This window comes from Homo sapiens, chromosome 14 (genome assembly GCF_000001405.40).
Source record: "Homo sapiens chromosome 14, GRCh38.p14 Primary Assembly".
In the NCBI taxonomy this organism is placed as follows: Eukaryota; Metazoa; Chordata; class Mammalia; order Primates; family Hominidae; genus Homo; species Homo sapiens.
In genome coordinates, this window is record NC_000014.9 from 97143658 (window position 1) to 97162011 (window position 18354).

At 46.4% G+C, this 18354-nt stretch overlaps 1 long non-coding RNA gene across 1 annotated transcript, besides 1 other annotated feature; it reads left to right on the forward strand.

Moving 5' to 3' along the window:
• Positions 10764-10933: an enhancer, noted in NCBI's record as "experimental_38968 CRE fragment used in MPRA reporter constructs". NCBI's record gives its function as "activates a minimal promoter by MPRAs in K562 erythroleukemia cells, with activity observed for both the introgressed and non-introgressed 14:97620843 variant alleles {active_cell/tissue: K562}" and the evidence as "EXISTENCE:reporter gene assay evidence [ECO:0000049][PMID:34662402]".
• LINC02304 (long intergenic non-protein coding RNA 2304) lies at positions 11200-15079 on the forward strand. The gene is made up of 2 exons (NR_146554.1): positions 11200-11512; positions 14948-15079. It is a non-coding gene; the product is annotated as a long intergenic non-protein coding RNA 2304 (long non-coding RNA).
• The last annotated feature ends 3275 nt before the right edge of the window (positions 15080-18354 follow it).

The following is an 18354-nucleotide window of genomic DNA, read 5'->3' on the forward strand; positions in this document are numbered from 1 at the left end:
TCGAGGCCGTATCCCACGTGGGTGTTCACACTGTGCATCAAGGATGCTGTGTGCAAAAGGCAGACAGTCTTGGCTGCTGGGCATGAGAGCTGACTTGCAATGCTGCAGCTTTGACAGGGGTTTTGGAGGTTTAGAACCTTCAGTCCTGCTTATTGGAGTCCCCATGAAGTGCTAAGATGAGAGAGTTGGAAAGTAACATGGCCTCTAAGCTTGGTAACACTGGAGTAGGGGTTCACTTTCAAGACCACCCACGTCACTTTCCAGAACATTTCTTAAGCCCAGGTGAGGAGAAGCCTGGCTTCACAGTTGACACCTGTGAGTGCAACTTTTGCCACTGCTGCTTGACATAAGGAACACTGTGAACCCAGCTTCTGGCTAGATCCTACCAGTAGGACTGGGCCTGCTCCAGAACCTCTGCCTCTGTAGTTCTTCTTAGCACAGAGCGGAGGGTGCTAGGAAGGTGGTGGAAAGAGGCTTATAGCCACCTGCCTAGGTGACGATGGATTGGGCAGAGTATGGGAGGAGGGACCAGCCTGCCCTCCCACATGGATTTCCACCTCTGACTTGAAAACCAAACCTCTGGAAAAGTTCAAACCTGGGGTGGAGTCCCTGGTTGCCCCTGGTTCCTTGGCCGATCTCCAGGCCGGCCTGAAAGGTAGCTCTTGCTGAGTAAAGTTGGCATCTCCTGGTGTTTGCACTGGGACTACAAAATCCCCTTGGTGCTTGACTATCACCTAGATCCCCAGGGATCAGATGGCCTCTGCGGGAATGAGCACAAGGCCCATCTCAGCTCAGCCTGGCCTGCTGGACCTGCCACTCAGGAAGACACTGTCCTGCATCCTGGGAACCCACAAGTGGCCCTTTATCTGATCTCCCCCAAGCATGGCCCGATGATCAGGGTTACGTGGGCTTGAGATTTCCATGTGATTGGCCGGGAGATGGGGTTGCAGAATCTCCTTCCCACGGAGTGTTCCACGTGTGTGACCTTCTCTCAGCTCAGCCACTGGTCACTTCCCCATTGGTCTTCTCTGCTGAGAGAGATTTCCTGGAGCCCAGCCTGGGCTCAGGCTGGGACTGGAGAGGTACAGCCCATTCACAAAGCTAGCTCCCCAAGCTCAAACCCCAATACCAGGAGGGGTGAGGATGGCAGACTTGATGCAGGAGCAAAGTGGATGTGGAAACATCCCATGTGTCTTGTAAGTCAAATTCCCCCTGGTGCACAGAAGTAGGCATGGTTAGCCCTTCCATAAAATCTAGAATTGAGCACTGCGGTCTTCCCGTGGTTCCCAGCTCAGCCACGCTGCTCACATACCTTGCATGAGCCAGTCCCTGGTCTGACATCTTCTCTCCACCCATGTTCTCCTGTCTGTGTACTTCCAAGTAATGCACAAAACCTTTCTCCTAGAATTCTGTATGACTTCAGCCCAGAATCCCCCAGCTGAGAAATTAGTAAATTACATAACTCTCCTGTGATTCCACTTTTCTCAATGGTAAATGGAGAGAATAGTAATAATTCCTACACACTCCATGTCACTGATACGAAGTTTAATAAAGTCAGTATTCATTCAGAACTTGGACTTCTGTTTAAGGAGAATGGATTGAACATGCACATTTGGCTTATCACCTTCCTCAAATCCACCCAAAAACAGTACGTGGAGACGTGGGCATATGTAACCCCATAAGGGCACGTAAGATGTGGGGTGAGAAGAGCAACAGCCTGTGTAAGGTAGAAAGCAGACAGGGAGGGTGATGCTTTCTGCAAACCCAAGGATGCGTACCCTAAGGGAGCCTTGGGTGAGAGTGGGGTCAGCTAGAGCTGCCCATTTGCGCTGCAGGCTCTGAAGGCCCCAGGAAACAGGGGCACCGCCTCTGGATGATGATGATGCAACTGAAAATAATTGTCTGTTCAAGGATGACTTAAGAATGACTTCAGAAGCAGGTAGATCCTCTTCACGCCATCTCTGAGAAAAACCAGAGCTGAGCATCCATAGATAGAGGGGCAGAGGGGGCACTGGATGGAAAAGAGGAAGGAAGTGAAATTTTGCACAGGAAACACCAGAGCCCCAGCCTGGTCCTCCTACTGGGGCTCCAGGACTCCCTTCTGCTGGGAGTTGGGAGGATTCTTCACTGGGGCTGCTGATCGATCCCAAAGAGAACAGAAGGTGTTGATGTTGGGGCTTCTGAGAGGAGTTTGCCCAGTTGGGCTGCCCTGGAATGGAGCTTCCAGAATATTCTTGGATGCACTGCTCATCCATGTGAGCTCACAGTTGAGAGGTGCCAGGCATTTGAGGACGGAAAGCATTAGGAAAAATGGTCCACAGGGAAGGCACCTTATGTGAAAAGCAGACTCTGTCACAATCAGAATTTGTGTCCTCTGTGCCAGGCCCTTGGCCTCTGCTGGGCTGGTGCATGCCATCCCCAAGGGTGGAATGTGTCCACCAGGGAGGCAGGAAGGGCTCCCCTGAGCTTGTAGCTGTGACTACCAGGTGGCCATTCGGGACCTCTGTCCAGGAGACCAGTGCCAAGTGCTTTCTGAAAACATTGGCAGCAACAAAAATTACCCATGTGCTTCCAATTACAGAAAACCTATACAGACAATCAAAACCTCTCATAGTCCCATCACAGGTAATATTTTGGTGTAGTTCCAGTCAATCTTTTTTCTGCATCTATGCATATTTTTCTTTTAAACTCAATATGGATCATAATGTATTTACTATCATGGAAACATTCAATTAGTAATATGTCATTAATAGTTTCCAGTGCCATGAAATATCCTTCTATAATTTGATTATTTATTTATTTATTTATTTATTTATTTATTTATTTATCTTTGAGATGGAGTCTTGCTCTTTCACCCAGGCTGGAGTGCAGTGGCACAATCTCGGCTCACTGAAAGCTCCACCTCCCGGGTTCACGCCATTCTCCTGCCTCAGCCTCCCCAGTAGCTGGGACTACAGGGGCCCGCCACCATCCCCGGCTAATTTTTTGTATTTTTAGTAGAGACGGGATTTCACCGTGTTAGCCAGGATGGTCTCGATCTCCTGACCTTGTGATCTGCCTGCCTTGGCCTCCCAAAGGGCTGGGATTGCAGGCGTGAGCCACTGCGCCTGGCTGATTATTTTTTTAAATGGTGGCATGTTATTTCATCATATGAATGTGCTATAATATACTTTTATAATGCTCTTTTCAAAATTGCTTAGGTCATATAGGCTTTATGCTGGATACTTGAAAAATATAATCACAAAAAGAAAAATAAAGTTATTTTTAGTCCTGCCACCCAATGAGCATGGCAAAGATCTTGGCATAGACATGTTAAAGACGTGTAGTTTTTCAAAGATTGTAGGCTACTGTATATATTGTCTTGTAACTTGCCTTTAAACTGATATATCAGAAATCTTCCCATGAAAAGAAATTACATATACCCACAACACGGAATACTATGTAGCCATTAAAATCATTATGATTAAAATCATTATGATTTTATGATTTTTTGATTATGATTATGATAATGATTATGATTATGATTAAGTCCTTCCCACATCCCATTATGATTAAAAATCATAATGACTTTAATGGTTGCATAGTATTCCATGTTGTGGGCATATGTAATTTTTCAGCCATTGCATATATGTGTAATGAAATTGATCCCAAAATGTCACTATTGTATATCGTCATTGAATATATATCTTTGGTTACATTTTAGAATATTTCTAATAGAAGAAATAACTAGAGATCCTATTTTTTTTGTTAGGGGAAGGGTACTGTATTAGTTTTCTGTGGCTGCCATACAGTAGAAAATTTAGTGGCTTAAAACAACATCAATTTATTATGTTACAATTCGGGAGGTCCAATGTCTAAAATAGGTCTCACTGGGCTAAAGTCAAGGTGTGGCAGGCTGCGTTCGTTTTGTAGGTTCTAGGGGAGACTCTGTTTCCTTCCTTTTTCAGCTTCTAGAGGCTGCCTGCAATTCCTAGGCTCACAGCCTCTTCCTCCATCTTCAAAGTCAGCCATGGCTGGTCCAGTCCTCCCCACATCCCATCATTCTGATACTACCCTTCCGCCTCCCACTTCCACTTTTAAGAACCCTTAGGGTTATATTGGGCCCACCCAGTCAATCCAGAATAATCTTCTTATTTTAAGGTCAGCTGATTAGCAAAGTTAATTTCATCTGCTGCCTTGATTTCCTTTTGAATATAATTTAACATATTCATATTCACAGCTTCTGGAGATTAGAATGTGAGCATCTTTGAGAGGCTGTTATTCTGTCTACCACAGGTGTGGGCTTAAAAGTTAGGGTTTCAGTGAAAGTTGGCCTCCTCAATGATGTGACTATTATAGTCTCTCCTAGCAGTACATGTAATTGTCTATTCCACCTCATGATATCAACATGGAGTATTATTACTTAAAAAAAATTATGGCCAGCTGGGTGTAGTGGCTCACACCTGTAATCTCAGCACTTTGGGAGGTTGAGGTGGGAGGATTGCTTGATGCCAGAAGTTTGAGACCAGCATAGGCAACAAAGCAAGACTCTGCCTCTACAAAATAAATAAATAAATAAATAAATAAATAAATAAATAAATAAATAAATTAGCCTGGCATGATGGCTCACTCCTGTGGTCTCAGCTACTCAAGAGGCTGAGGTGGGAGGATCACTTAAGCCCAGGAGTTTCAGGCTGAAGTGAATGATGATTGTGCCACTGCACTCCAGCCTGGGTGAAAGAGTAAGACCCCCCTGTCTCTTAAAAAAAAAATTAAAATCATTGCCAATTTAAATAGCTAAAAGATTGTATCTGATTATTTTGTTAATTTTTATTTCTTTGATTACTTGTTATGTAGATTTTTTTCTAAAAGATCTTTAATCATTTAGAGTTCTCTTTTTGTAAATTGCCTGTTCATATTATTTGCTCATTTTTCTGTGGTTGGGGGGCATCATCTTCTTTATTTGTAAAAGATTTCTTCATGTTAAAGTTACTATTTATATCCATGTCAAAAATATTTTGTCCTGGTTTGAGGCTTACTGTTTAATCTTATATTTTACAGCCAGGATCTTATCTTTTCTGTGTAGATTATGTCAGTATTTTCTCTTATGGTTTCTTCCTAGGTTTTGTGGCTACTATGGTTAATAAGATTTTTCTCACCTCTAGTTAGAGAAATATTTACTAATGCTTTTCTATTTTCCATTTGAACATTTAACTCTTTAATCCATTTTGAATTTTATTTTAGTTATAGGGAGAAGTTAGTCATCTCCTCATTCTTTTCCCCATTATTTTAGTAGCTTGCACTGAGCCTCTTGATGTTACACTCTCTGGAGCACATGATTTGGGTACATAACCTTAAATTTTTGTTTTTTTTAAATCACAAAGGTGAGGCTTTTGCTGCCAAGAGCTCCTTGCCATTTTAACACAGGTGTTGCTATTTTCCCGGCATCTGGGGCCAACAAGTGCAGTTCCTACAATGGAAAACAAGTCAAAGCCTTCCACATACCACTGCATATAAGAGGAGAATAAATGCTTCGATTCCAGCACGGCAGGAGCACAGGCTGCTGGGGGACCATTAAGCTCTTTTTGGAACTTGCCAGTTGTTTATTTCCAGTGTCTGTCCTTACAGGGACAGCCAGGGGAGCCATCCTTTTCTCTGTGAACATGTGCTAGGTGTGTTCTTGGATGAGTACTTCTACCTGGAACAAACAATGGGCAGGCAGGATAATGAGAGGCCGTTTCCCGTGATCACTGCCATCTGAAAGCACCATATCAACACCGCTTTATTTCTGGATAATGCACAACAAAGGAAGGAAGGAAAGAGACCACTGTGGGCCCAGCTGCTGCCCAGCACCCCTGAGCCTGCGTGGGGAATGTTTGTTTCAGCCTGGGCTCCAACCCATCCCTAGACAAGATCCTTTTCCAATGGCTTGCACTTCTCTCTCTCATTCATTTTCTCATCCATTCTGTGTGTCTTTCTAGGCAGAGGGATATTATGGAGAGAAAATGGAGAAGATCCCTGGCTTCGTGGCACTTAGAAGAACTTAATGGAGGAAAAAGATACTAAAAAAGAGACAAGCTGGAACATAATTGCACATCGTGACAAATGCATTGAAGAATTCAAGTAGGATGTTGAGCTGCAGAATCCTGGGCTTGGAGAGAAAACTCCTTTGGGTTTCGGGTATAGGAAGGCCTCTCTCTCCAGGCATCCACCCCAGCCCAGCTGGAAGCCTCTGCATTTCTCAAGCACAGCCAGGTCTTTCTTTTCTACCCTTTTGTCCTGGCAGCCTCTAGGTCCCCAAGCACAGGTCTCAGTTCCGATGCTGACTCCTGTAGGACATCCTTTCTTCAGGAGGCCACTCCCCTATTTCCCTCCCCCACACCCTCAGTTACTCTCCCACACATCCTCTGTTTATCTCATTCAGAGAACAGGTCCCACTGAAGTGGCCTCTCATTGTCATTTATGTATTGGTTTAGGGTCTGTCTGCCCACTAGGAACAGAAGCTCCATACAGGGAAGGACTGTGCCTGCGTTGTTTACCACTGTACCCCCAGCAACGAGCATAGCCTGGCCCTTAGTAGGTGCTTAGCAAATATTTACTGAATGAGTGAAAGAGCACATGGTGGCTGGAGAGGAGCAAAATGAGTCAAAGAGCCCCAGAGGCTTGGAACTGTCAGATCCAGTGCTTGGATGTGTAATGGAGCTGTAAGGAACCACCTCCTTATTCCTAGGCTTCTAGAAATATCCACTCCTATCCCGAGGCCTGCCACAGGAATGGGCCTGTGCAGCTATCTCAGTTACCAGGTGACCTCATTCCCTTGGGCCAGCCAGATACTGTCTGCTGGGCATTTTAGGGTTATGACATGGAAATGCTGATTCCATTGGCTGTTGGGAGACATTTGCAAGTTCATGGATGTGTCTGGGCCAGGGTTGGACCACAATCAGCCAGAACCAGGTGTCAGCTGAGGTCACAGGGGTGCGGGAACCGAAAGCCCAGCAGAGGAAGCCAGTCTGCGGAGAGAAGCAGAGATGAGAAGCGGGCGGATTTGTGGAGCAAGAGGAGTGAGCACAAGTCCAAGAGAGAGAGGGAGGATAGAAGGGAGAGATAACAGCAGTATTGGCCTGGCCTCTCATCCCTCATAGGGAAGGCATCAGCTCGGAAGAACATGCCTGGTTTTGAATCCTGGCTCCACCTCTTATTAACTGGATGACTTTGGGCCAATTCCATGACTTCATGGAAGTCAGTGTCTTCATCTGTGAAACGGGGATAAAATGTTTCTTACAAGGACCTCATGAGGTCTCACGATCTGATCTGAGGTCCACCCCCATCTCCGGTACTGCTTCTGTTTTTGTAGAATGTTCTGGGGAGCGTGGACCAGGGGGATTTGCTGCCTGCAGAAGCTCTCTCTGGCATGAGGCTGCCAACCTGTTTCACTCTGCGAGTGAGTTTCAGCAGGAAGGAGGATGCACACAGCTGTGGAGTGGAGGCCATTCATAGAACACGGACTATCAACTTCCTGTCACAGGCCATGGACACAGCCATGAGCCTCACTGTTGGGGGTTTGGATGAGCCCAGGCCCAGGCTAGATCCTGGCCTCCAACCCACTCACTAGGAATCTGTTAATAAGGGCCCAGACACTCAGCTGCCAGCGGTGTGGAGCTCTGAGTTGAGAGAACCCGATTCTGCTGCAGGGCTACCCTGGGTCCGGAATTGTGAAAATTCTGCATGGCAGTCAGATGTCCTTCCCCGCATAAGGTTTGTGTCTTTCGCCAGCCTCCTTATTCTTTAAAGATTGAGAGAGGAAGGAGAGAGGGATGAAAGGAGAGAGAGGAGAGGGGAAGAATAGAAGGTGGAAATGCTGGGGTTGCAGTATGCATATTTTACAACATTTTAGGTCACTTTTTTTGGCTCAAAATAGAGTTTGCACTGAATGATGTTGGCCTAGACTGAAACAAATTGGACAGAACAACCCAGGCTACTGGTTGTTCTTCATATTTTGTCACTGGTGGTCCCTGGATTGGTGACATCTGTCTTCCTGTCCAGAATCAGAAAATCACTGAGTCTCAGGGTTTCAAGTGACCTCACAAACCATTGCCAAAGACCAGGTGCCAATCTCACGGGAAGGTTTTTCTTTCGGTGGAACTGGAATCTCCCTCTCTGAAGCAGCACCCATTCAGATCCTTTCTCCTTCAGGCCCCAATTTCCCTGCTTCTTTAACCCATTGGGTTCTGATAAGATGCTAAGGACACCCCTTAGTCCCTGGCTCCTTCTTCCCTGCACGCCCGCCTGGCTATTACACTGATGAAGACAGGCTAGGCTGAGCTGCCCTCACAGGAGCCCCAAAGCCACAGTGGCTGACCTAGATAAGGACACATTTCTTGCCTGTGCTACCCCTCCCTGGTAGGGGGTGCTGCATCATTTTCACCATGGGGTTCAGGTTGAGGGAGGGGACCCAGCCTGGGACTTCACCAGTCCTTAGGAGGGAAGGAAAAGAGAACTCAGTGGAGCTGTGAGATGACTCTCAAGGATTCTGTTTGTAAGCGGCCTACAGCCATCCTGCCCACGTGTGATCAACACAGTCAGTCACACGGCTGCACCTGAATCTAACAGGGTGGGGGAAAGCATTGTCCTCTCTTGTCTTCTGCGTCTCATGCCTTTAATGCAAGAATCCCATAACGGAGACCCTTCACCCTGTTAAAAGCTAATTACAGCATCAAGTTAAGTTGAACCGTTTCCTTCGATGAATGCAATAGTAGTATTTGTTAGTATTTTGGGAAGCCTCATAGCCTTGCTGTGCCCACAGTTATAACTGGAGGTGCCAATATGTCATTTCCTAAGCTGTGACTCTTCCCTCACTCTCATCCCCTTATCGTTCACCAATCTTCCACTTCAGGTCTCACCTTCAATGTCACTTCTTCCAAGAAGCCCTCTTGGCCTCTACACAGTTAGTACTTCTGGTCTCGCTCTCTGTAATTCTTCTTCAAGGCTAAGCACTTGGCCAACACCCATTTTTTGGCCAGACTAAGGAAGGAAACAGTGTCTGTCTGGTTCAGTGCAATTCCCCCCTGATCATAAGATGAGGCTTAATATATCAAAGGCACTCAAAAAATATTGTTTGAATGAGTAGACAGCTCAAAACATGAACACATAACTCATTCTCAAAGGATATTATTTTCTTATGATGTGTTTTAAACAAACAAAAAAAAGGAACTTTAAATTTCTGTACCCAAACCCTGATGGGCTCTGAGATTTGCCTGTCGTTTTGTGTATTTCAATCCCCTAAATTAGGGATTGTGGAAAGACTGGCCAGGTAAGTTACTGTTCAGATCAGGACCATTTGTGAGAGTGAAGTGTATGTGTGTGTGTGTGTGTGTGTGTGTGTGTGTGTGTGTTGGGGGGAGGGCAGGGAGGTCTGGGGGGTGGAGCTTATCACTAATGCCACCCTCTGGGACAAATCACACAGAACTTGCAAGGTGGAAAACAACACACACACGTACACACACCCTTTCAAGAGTTGTCCAGGCCTATTTTTCTTTTACTGTACCCCAAACTCCCTTGAGCCTTTTGTTTTATGAATTGGGCCCTTCTATTTTACAGCCAGCACCATTTGCACTTACTGCAGAGCTGTATTATGGCCAAAGACTCTTTTTATTTTTTTTTATTTCTTATAGTCCTGGAACATGGCCCCCTGGAGAATGTCACTTCACAAAGCAATGGCCAGTAAACTTGGCTCATGCGTCAGCGAAACACTTCCAACGAAAGTGCATCAACTTCTGTTCTTACACATTGTCGTCTTTCACCTTAACAAGCACACCCCAAAAAAAGTCCTCTGGTTTCTACGGCTTGTTAGGTCTATCATCTTTTTAATTAATAGTGTTTTTACGAAGCCGTCTGAACTGTGTCATTTCCATTATCAGAAACGCATTGCCATTAATGAATAATTTTCATTTCTGATCCCTGGTATCATGCTAGTTGATCTCCTGTTTCCATGCCTTCAAATGATAGCATCGTTTTCTGCCCACGATCAAATTTAATTTGGACTCTGATTATATTATGCTGTTGCGACTGAAGTGTCAATTTTTGTCAGGCAATTAGGAGCTATAACCTGTGAAGTTAAGTTTGATAGGCATTGTAATTGGATTGTTACAGTAATAGCCTGGAACGTTCCTTTTCCTCTTGCTTCTTTGATTCTTGATGCATACTCTCATCGTGAGAACAAAGACATTTGGTTATTATACAACCTTAGGATGTTTGAGACAACAAGATCACAAGTTGAAGTTTTTGCAGTGGAGTGGGCTTCGATGTAACTCGAAGTGTGGGACGTTGAAAGTTTGAGAGATTTGGAAAAAATTAGAACAAAGGGAAAGAAGTATCACAGAAAGCATTGTGTAAGAAGAAGTTAACAGGTCCCCGAAGTTCACTTCAAGATTCCAGATAAGTTGCAAACAAAGATGAATCACAAATAGCTTAGAGTCACCTGAGAGTTCCTCTCTTCCTCCCTCCCTCCCTCCCTTCCTCACTCTCTCCCTCCTTCCCTCCTTCCTTCCTTCCTTCCCTCCTTCCTTCTTTCCTTCCTTCCTTCCTTCCTTCCTTCCTTCCTTCCTTCCTTCCTTCCTTCCTTCCTTCCTTTCTTCCTTCCCTCTCTCCCTCTCTCCTTTCCTCCTCTCCTCCCATTATTCCTTTCTCCCTCCCCCTTTCTTTTCTTTCCCTCATTTCTACTAATTTATTGACACTGGACTAAATACATTAAATATTGTCATGGAAAAGACAAGCCCTCTATCCTCGTGTGGTTCATGGTATAATAGGGGAGAGATGGAAAATGTCACATCAACAGAATGATGTGACGAGATCCTTTAACAGAATACCTGCGTGTATCAGCAGATTCTCACTTGAAGAATGGGAGCTTGCCTGCAATGGGGAGGAGAGGAGAGGAGAGTGGTGCAGTGTGTGGGCACAGCTTTTGCAGAGACCTGGGCACAGCAAGGATTTGGGGCCATGAGGGAGTGGCGAGAAGTGCAGCAGGATGGGTGCCTGTGATGCAGCAGGATGGGCGCCTGTGAAGCCTGTGATGCAGGATGAGCACCTGTGATGCAGCAGGATGGGCGCCTGTGATGCCTGTGATGCAGGATGAGCACCTGTGTTGCAGCAGGATGAGCGCTTGTGATGCCTGTGATGCAGGATGAGCACCTGTGTTGCAGCAGGATGGGCTCCTAGCTGCCCGGGTGGCAGGAGGTGGGGCTGGAAGGAAGTGGGGCAGATCACAGGGAAGGGGGAAGCTGGCCCAGGCATCTGGATTTTATCCCAAAGCTCATGAATGTTAAAAGGCAGGTCCGAGGGTACCCTGGAGGACTTCCATAGCATCTTTATCAGGCCTGATGCCATGGCCCCTAAAACTCATTTGCTTTATTGCTACCCGAATACCCTTTACAAATGCAAATCCGAGCAATGAGCACACTGCCTGCAACCCTCAGGGATCCCGACTCTTACAGTGAAGACAGAGCTCTTCAATACACCCTGTGGAAAGGCTGGCCAGGTAAGTTACTGTTCAAATCAGGACCATTTGTGGGAGTGAAGTGTGTGTGTGTGTGTGTGTGTGTGTGTGTGTGTGTGTGTGTGTGTGTTGGGGGGATGGCAGGGATCTTTAGGGGGTGGAGCTTATTACTAATGCCTCCTCTGGGACAACAGGTGTCCTTGAGGACTGCCCCAGGAAAACCAGGAGGTGGGGCTTGTATCCTTAAGGCCCACATGGTCCGCCTGCGGCCTCTTTTTTTCACCCCTTCTCCCATTTGTCTCCTCCCCAGCTCTCAGCTGGCCAGCAGCACTGAGTTTCTTTTTAGTTCCTCCTACCCCCTGAAAGCTCTCTCTTGCCACAGGGCCTTTGCACATGCTGTTTTTGCTGCCTGAACCTTGGCCCTGTAGCCTCCCATTCATGCCCAGGCTTTCTGGCCACCTGGCTTCCAAGAAGGGAAAGGAGGTTAGGTTTTTCTTCCCACTCCTTCTATCTTTGCATCTTTTGCAAGAGCTGCATCCTTCACAACTTGGGTCCTACCTGATGTCTCCTCCTGTACAGTTTGCCTCCAGTTTCCTGCTCTTGTCCCTTCAGTCCTAGGGGTGACAACCACTCCCTGATGCTTCCTGTCTCTGAGCCCTTGCCATCCTATCTTTGTCCTCTTAACCCTGCTCACCTCTGTTAAGAGTCTTTTCATTAAAGATTCTTCATTTGAACCATCTGTGGCAAATTCTGCTTCCTGCTGGGACCCTGACTACGATGGTGCCTAAAACAAACTGCTGGAGGAGGAGAGAGGTGGGAGCAGAGACTCCCTTCTGGGATAGACCAGGAGGAGCTGACGCTTGTCTCCAAATACAAGAAAGACGTCGGCAGGCAGAGAGGGCTGGGAGAGCAGCTTTCAGGCATAGAGAACAGCATCAGACCAAGATGTGGAGGCAAGAGGAGGGTGGGCTTGTGGGCTAGCAAGGAGTCCAGTGTCTTCCTTCCTTCCTCCTTCCCTCCCTCCCTCCCTCTCCTTTCTTTCCTCTCTCTCTCACTCCCTCCTTTGTTTCTTCCTTTCCTTCTTTTTCTTTCTCCCCTCCTTCCTTCCTTTTTTGCTTCTTCCCTCCCTTCCTCCCTCCCTTCCTCCCTCCTTCCTTTCTTCCTCTCAGCACATACTCCTGGAGCATATACCCCGCTCTGTGCCAGGCACTGTTCTAAGCACTGCATAAATAGCAGCAAACAGACAACTTTTCTGCCCTCATGGATGTTCCATTCTCATGGGGGAAGACTGTTAACAAGCAATGGATGCATTTACACTATGACAAGTGTGTATAATATGACAGTGGAGGAAAATAAAGCCAAACAAGAGAACCACCAATGTGGCATGAGTGATTGGAGGTGTTATTTTACTGGGGGCTTCTCTGATAAGGTGATAGTTGAATGGAGTTCAGAAGGAAGTAAGGGAAAACGTCATTCCAGGCAGAGGGAAGGGCAGGTGCAAAGACCCGAGGCAGGCGATTGCTTGCTGTGTTCAAGAACAGTCAAGAAGCCAGAGTGGCTGGAGCAGGAGGAAAGAAGGCTAGAGTGATGGGGGCTGCTGTCAGAGGTTGAGGTGCAGACTGCGTTTGGTCATAGGAGCTGCTGTCATGAATTGGTGTTTACCCTGAGCTGGGAAGCTAAAGTAGGTTTGTAAGGAGGCAAATGACATCAGCTGGTTGCCAAATGAAAACAGTTTGCGAGGCAAGGGACAGGCGGGACCATTATGTAGGGTGTGGCTTCAATGGTCCCAGTGACTGAGTGTGGTGGCAGAGGTGATAGCAAGGGTGTCAAATTCTGAATGTATGTTCAAGGCAGAGCCGGAGACTCCGCTGAGTGATTGTGTGTGAATCATGGGGAAGGGAGTGAGATCCATCAAGGATGACACCAAGGTTTTTGTCTTTAGAGTGCCATTTACAGAGATGAGAAAGACTGAACAAGTTTTTTTTTCATTTTATTTGTTTGCATTGTTTGAAGATCTGGATTTCTGTTTCATTCGTATTTAATTTAAGCTTCCTTTTATGCAGCCAAGTGATGGTGTTGAGGAGGTAGCTGGATTTAAGGATCTGAGGTCATGGGAGATTCAAAATTGGGAGTCATCTCTAAAGAGATAGTATCTAAGGACATAGCTTCGAAGGAGATTACCTGGGGAAAAATATAAAACAGGGAAGAAGTGGCTCCTAGGACCATTCAATGTAGCCTAAGTGTCATATGACTGGGGAGTGCCTACATTGATATTTCTCTCCTCTGGACTGCAATTTTTCAGCCTGTTTGCACCGCTGACTGTGACTTTAGTAAAAACTGCATTCCTTATTATACCTGTCTTGGTATCACCCTGCATACCCAGTGCCTAGCACAGAGGCCTGCCTCGAGTAGATGCTCAATTGTTGAGTGAGTCACTGAATGAATGCATTGATAATAGGAATGAATGAATGAGGCATATGTTGACTTTCCGATGTCACTTGTGAGCACATTAAGGGCAGTGGAAAAGACATCCTAAGCAGCTTGTGCCCCAGTTGGGAAGCATCAGCTAGTAAGAAGAAGGACCTAGTTTCAAATCCCATTTCTGCTACTTCCTGGCTGTGCCACCTTGGGCAGTGCATGCCACCTCACTGACTTTAGTTTCTCTGTTTGTAAAACAAGGTCGGCCGGGCGTGGTGGCTCACTCCTGTAATCCCAGCACTTTGAGAGGCTGAGGTGGGTGGATCACGAGGTCAGGAGATTGAGGCCATCCTGGCTAACACGGTGAATCCTTGTCTCTACTAAAAATACAAAAAACTTAGCTGGGCGTGGTGGTGGGCGCCTGTAGTCCCAGCTACTCAAGAAGCTGAGGCAGGAGAATCACTCGAACCCGGGAGGCAGATGTTGCAGTTAGCAGAGATCGTGCCACTGCACTCCAGGCTGGTGACACAGCAAGACTCCATCTTAAAAAAAAAAAAAAAAAAAAAAACAAGGTCTATTATGAAGAATGGAGAGGGGCAAGTCACCATGCTGGGCACACATGAGGGGCTCACCTGGATTTTATTCCTTCTGCTCCCTGCCCCTGACCCCAGTGTCAGATGGGGTTGAGCACAGAATAAGCAGCCAATTAATAATAAGTAATTAGTACTAAATCATTAGTAATAATACTTAATTACTAAAATAACAGTAATTAATTAATATTAGTAATAATAGTTACTGCTAATAATATGGGCTCATGTTTTCTCTAATAATTTATACTTCCAAAAGCTCTTCTGTCTGTTTTTCTCTCTTGGTACTTGGTGACCCAGTAAGAGGCTCTCTAGGACAGGTAATAGACACTGACTTTACTGATTAGGACAAGAGGGCTCGGCAGGGAGGCCACTTGGCCAGAGCCCCACAGCTGGTGTGTGATGAAGGGAGTGCCCCAAGTTATCCTAATTCATAGTTTTGCAAGTTGCCTTTTTTTTTTTTTTTTTGCAGTGCCTTGACCCCATTAAAAGGCTCTGAAAAAAGTATAAAGATAGGGGAAAGCAGAGCAGAAGGCTTGGGCAGAGCTCTGGGACTCGGATGGAAAGCATCCCCACTTGGAGGTGCTCACAAGCGGAAGCCCCTCTGGGAGAGGAGACAAATGGGAAAGCAGATGGAAAAGCTTTTGGTGGAGCCAATTTGCAGATCTGTAAAATGGGTTCTTTCCGGCCTACTGTGCTTGCTTTTATTTCGCTCCTTGACCCTTCCCTCAACACCCAAATCTCCAAGTCAGATCTACTTGTCCCCCTCCAGGTTAAGATGCTGCCCCTTCAGGAAGCCTGCCTATCCTCCTATCCTCTTCTTTTTAAAGAAATCTCCACCTCTAAACTTCCATAGCAGTGTACACCTCCCTGTCTATGGCACTGGTCACTGTCCTCCAAGATTAGACCCATGTGAATGGGTGTGGCATCTCCTCTGCAGATGGTGAGCTCCTTGAGGGCAGAGATTGCACCCATTCCATCCTTGCATTCCAGCACCAGCAGGGCCTGTGAGTGGAGATGTGGTAGAGGACAGATGTATTAGTCTGTTGTCACATTGCTGATAAAGACATACCCAAGACTGGGAAATTTACAAAAGAAAGAGGTCGAATTGGACTTACAGTTCCACGTGGCTGGGGCAGCCTCACAATCACGGTGGAAGGCAAGGAGGAGCAAATCACATCTTACATGGATGGCAGCAGATGAACAGTGCTTGTGCAGGGGAACTCCCCCTTATCATACCGTCAGATCTCATGAGACTTGCTCACTATCATGAGAACAGCATGGGAGACACCTGCCCCCATGATTCAGTTACCCCCCAACCAGGTCCCTCCCACAACATGTGGGAATTCAAGATGAGATTTGGGTGGGGACACAGCCAAACCATAAGAGCAGGTGACTCCCAGGAGGTGATGGAAGGAGGCACAGGGTTAGGTGTGGAAGCGAGAGAAATTGGGACTTGGTTGATTTCAGCAGAGCAGGGCACTGGTCGGTGATTCACGGGAGCATGGTGGAAATGAAACTGAACAGCCAATGGAACTCTTGGACTGAAGACCAACTCAAGAGCCATTGAGAAGCCACCAGGAGCTCTGTTTCACTGAGAAGGAAACTTGAGTCTCTGAGAGATGAAGTGGCCTTCTCAAAGTCATAGGGGCAGGAAGAGGCACAGCTGAGACAGAACTTGGATCTCCTGGTGGCACTTATTCAGCTTGGTGGAAATACCAGAACCACAAAGCCTTGACATAGTTTGAGGGGAGACCATCAGGTCACTCCTGATGCTGCAGACCCAGTCCTGCCAGGGGGACTCTGGCATGGCCCTTTGGTCCGAGGTGGCCCCTGCACCACATCCACCTTCCCGAGGAACACAGGGATGGGGCTGGGCGAGGTCCAGCTGGCTCAGCTCCTTCATTTACCAATGTGTGAACTAACCTCATTCTCCAGGACATTATGATGGTGCCCAGTGCTGTGGCACTGGGTATTTGCCGGAGCTCATCCAGGGAAGCTCTTTTGCATACTGCCTGACACATGGTTGGTGCTCAGTGTAACCTCATCTTTTTTGCCTCCATAGCTGTTGCTGCTATTCTAGGCTCTGCTTCTATCATCATAGAGCTGTGACACTTGGGAAAGGGCCCTTCACCTTTCTGAGCCTCAGTTTCCCCATGTGATTGCCAAGGGCACCTTTAGGATGGCCATTCAATGACTCCCCCACCTGGTTTCACCTCTTCTGCCTGGACCACAGGCAAAGGGACAAGCAGCAGCATTGGGACATCTGGGGAAATGTCTTCAATATATAATATGGAACTTTCGGGGGTCTGGCTTCAAGTTCATAACATTGGAGGATTAAAAGGAAAATGGTAATGAAATGGTGATATTAGGGAAGCTCACTGGGCTGTAGAGATGGGACAGGATGCCGTGTGAGGAGCAGCCTGCACAGGCAGGGGCTGGGGCAATTGAATGGGCCCAGGAGTGAGATGTCCACAGGTTTGACTCCTGGCTTGACCGCACACTACCATAGACCTCACCCAAGCAATTTGACCTCAATTTTTCTCATCTGTAAAATGGAGAGATAACAGTATCTACCTTATACTATGGGTAAGGATTAAGTGAGATAATACAATGACAATGAAATGCCCAGTTAGTGGTGAACACTGGGTCTGTGCTAGCACTTATTATTGTTATTGATCACCCATGGCTCCTACTCTATAGCTGGGAGGAGGCAAGATCTTTGTCCCTGGTGCGGCCCAGATTTAACCCCTACCTCCTTTCCTTCCCCAAAGACATGTGCTTAGCTCTGTAGGTGCTGGGGCTATATCTACTGAATACACTGAATAAGAAAACCCAGGGCTGCCCTCAAGGGGCTGTCTGTCTCCCTGCAGAGTCAGCCAAAGGAGACTGTGTTAAGAAGAGATGGTGCTATTCAGTTAGAATGGTGATCATTAAAAAGTCAGGAAACAATGGGTGCTGGAGAAGATGTAGAGAAATAGGAACACTTTTACACTGTTGGTGGGACTGTCAACTAGTTCAACCATTGTGGAAGACAGTGTGGCAATTCCTCAAGGATCTAGAACTAGAAATACCATTTTACCCAGCCATCCCATTACTGGGTATATACCCAAAGGATTATAAATCATGCTGTTATAAAGACACATGCACATGTATGTTTATTTTGGCACTGTTCACAATAGCAAAGACTTGGAACCAACCCAAATGTCCAACAATGATAGACTGGATTAAGAAAATGTGGCACATATACACCATGGAATACTATGCAGCCATAAAAAAGAATGAGTTCATGTCCTTTGTAGGGACATGGATGAAGCTAGAAACCATCATTCTGAGCAAACTATCACAAGGACTGAAAACCAAACACTGCATTTCTCACTCATAGGTGGGAATTGAACAATGAGAACACTTGGACACAGGGTGGGGAACATCACACACCAGGGCCTGTCATGGGGTGAGGGGAGGGGGGAGGGATAGCATTAGGAGATATGCCTAATGTGGATGACGAGTTAACGGGTGCAGCACACCAACATGGCACATGTATACATATGTAACAAACCTGCACGTTGTGCACATGTACCCTAGAACTTAAAATATAATAAATAAATGAATAATAAATAAATAAATAAAAGAAGAGATGGTGCTATTCATTCTGTATGGACAAGGCAGAATCAGGGAAGGCTTCTCAGAAGAGGTGACAGAGGAGCATGGTCTTATGGTAAGTGAAAGTATCTTAGTTCAGGCTGCTATAACAAAGATATTATAGACTGGACAATTTATAAACAATGAGCATTTATTTGTCACAGTTCTGGAGGCTGGGAAGTCCAAGATTAAGGAGCCAGCAAAGTCAGTGTCTGGGACCACTTTCTGGTTTACATA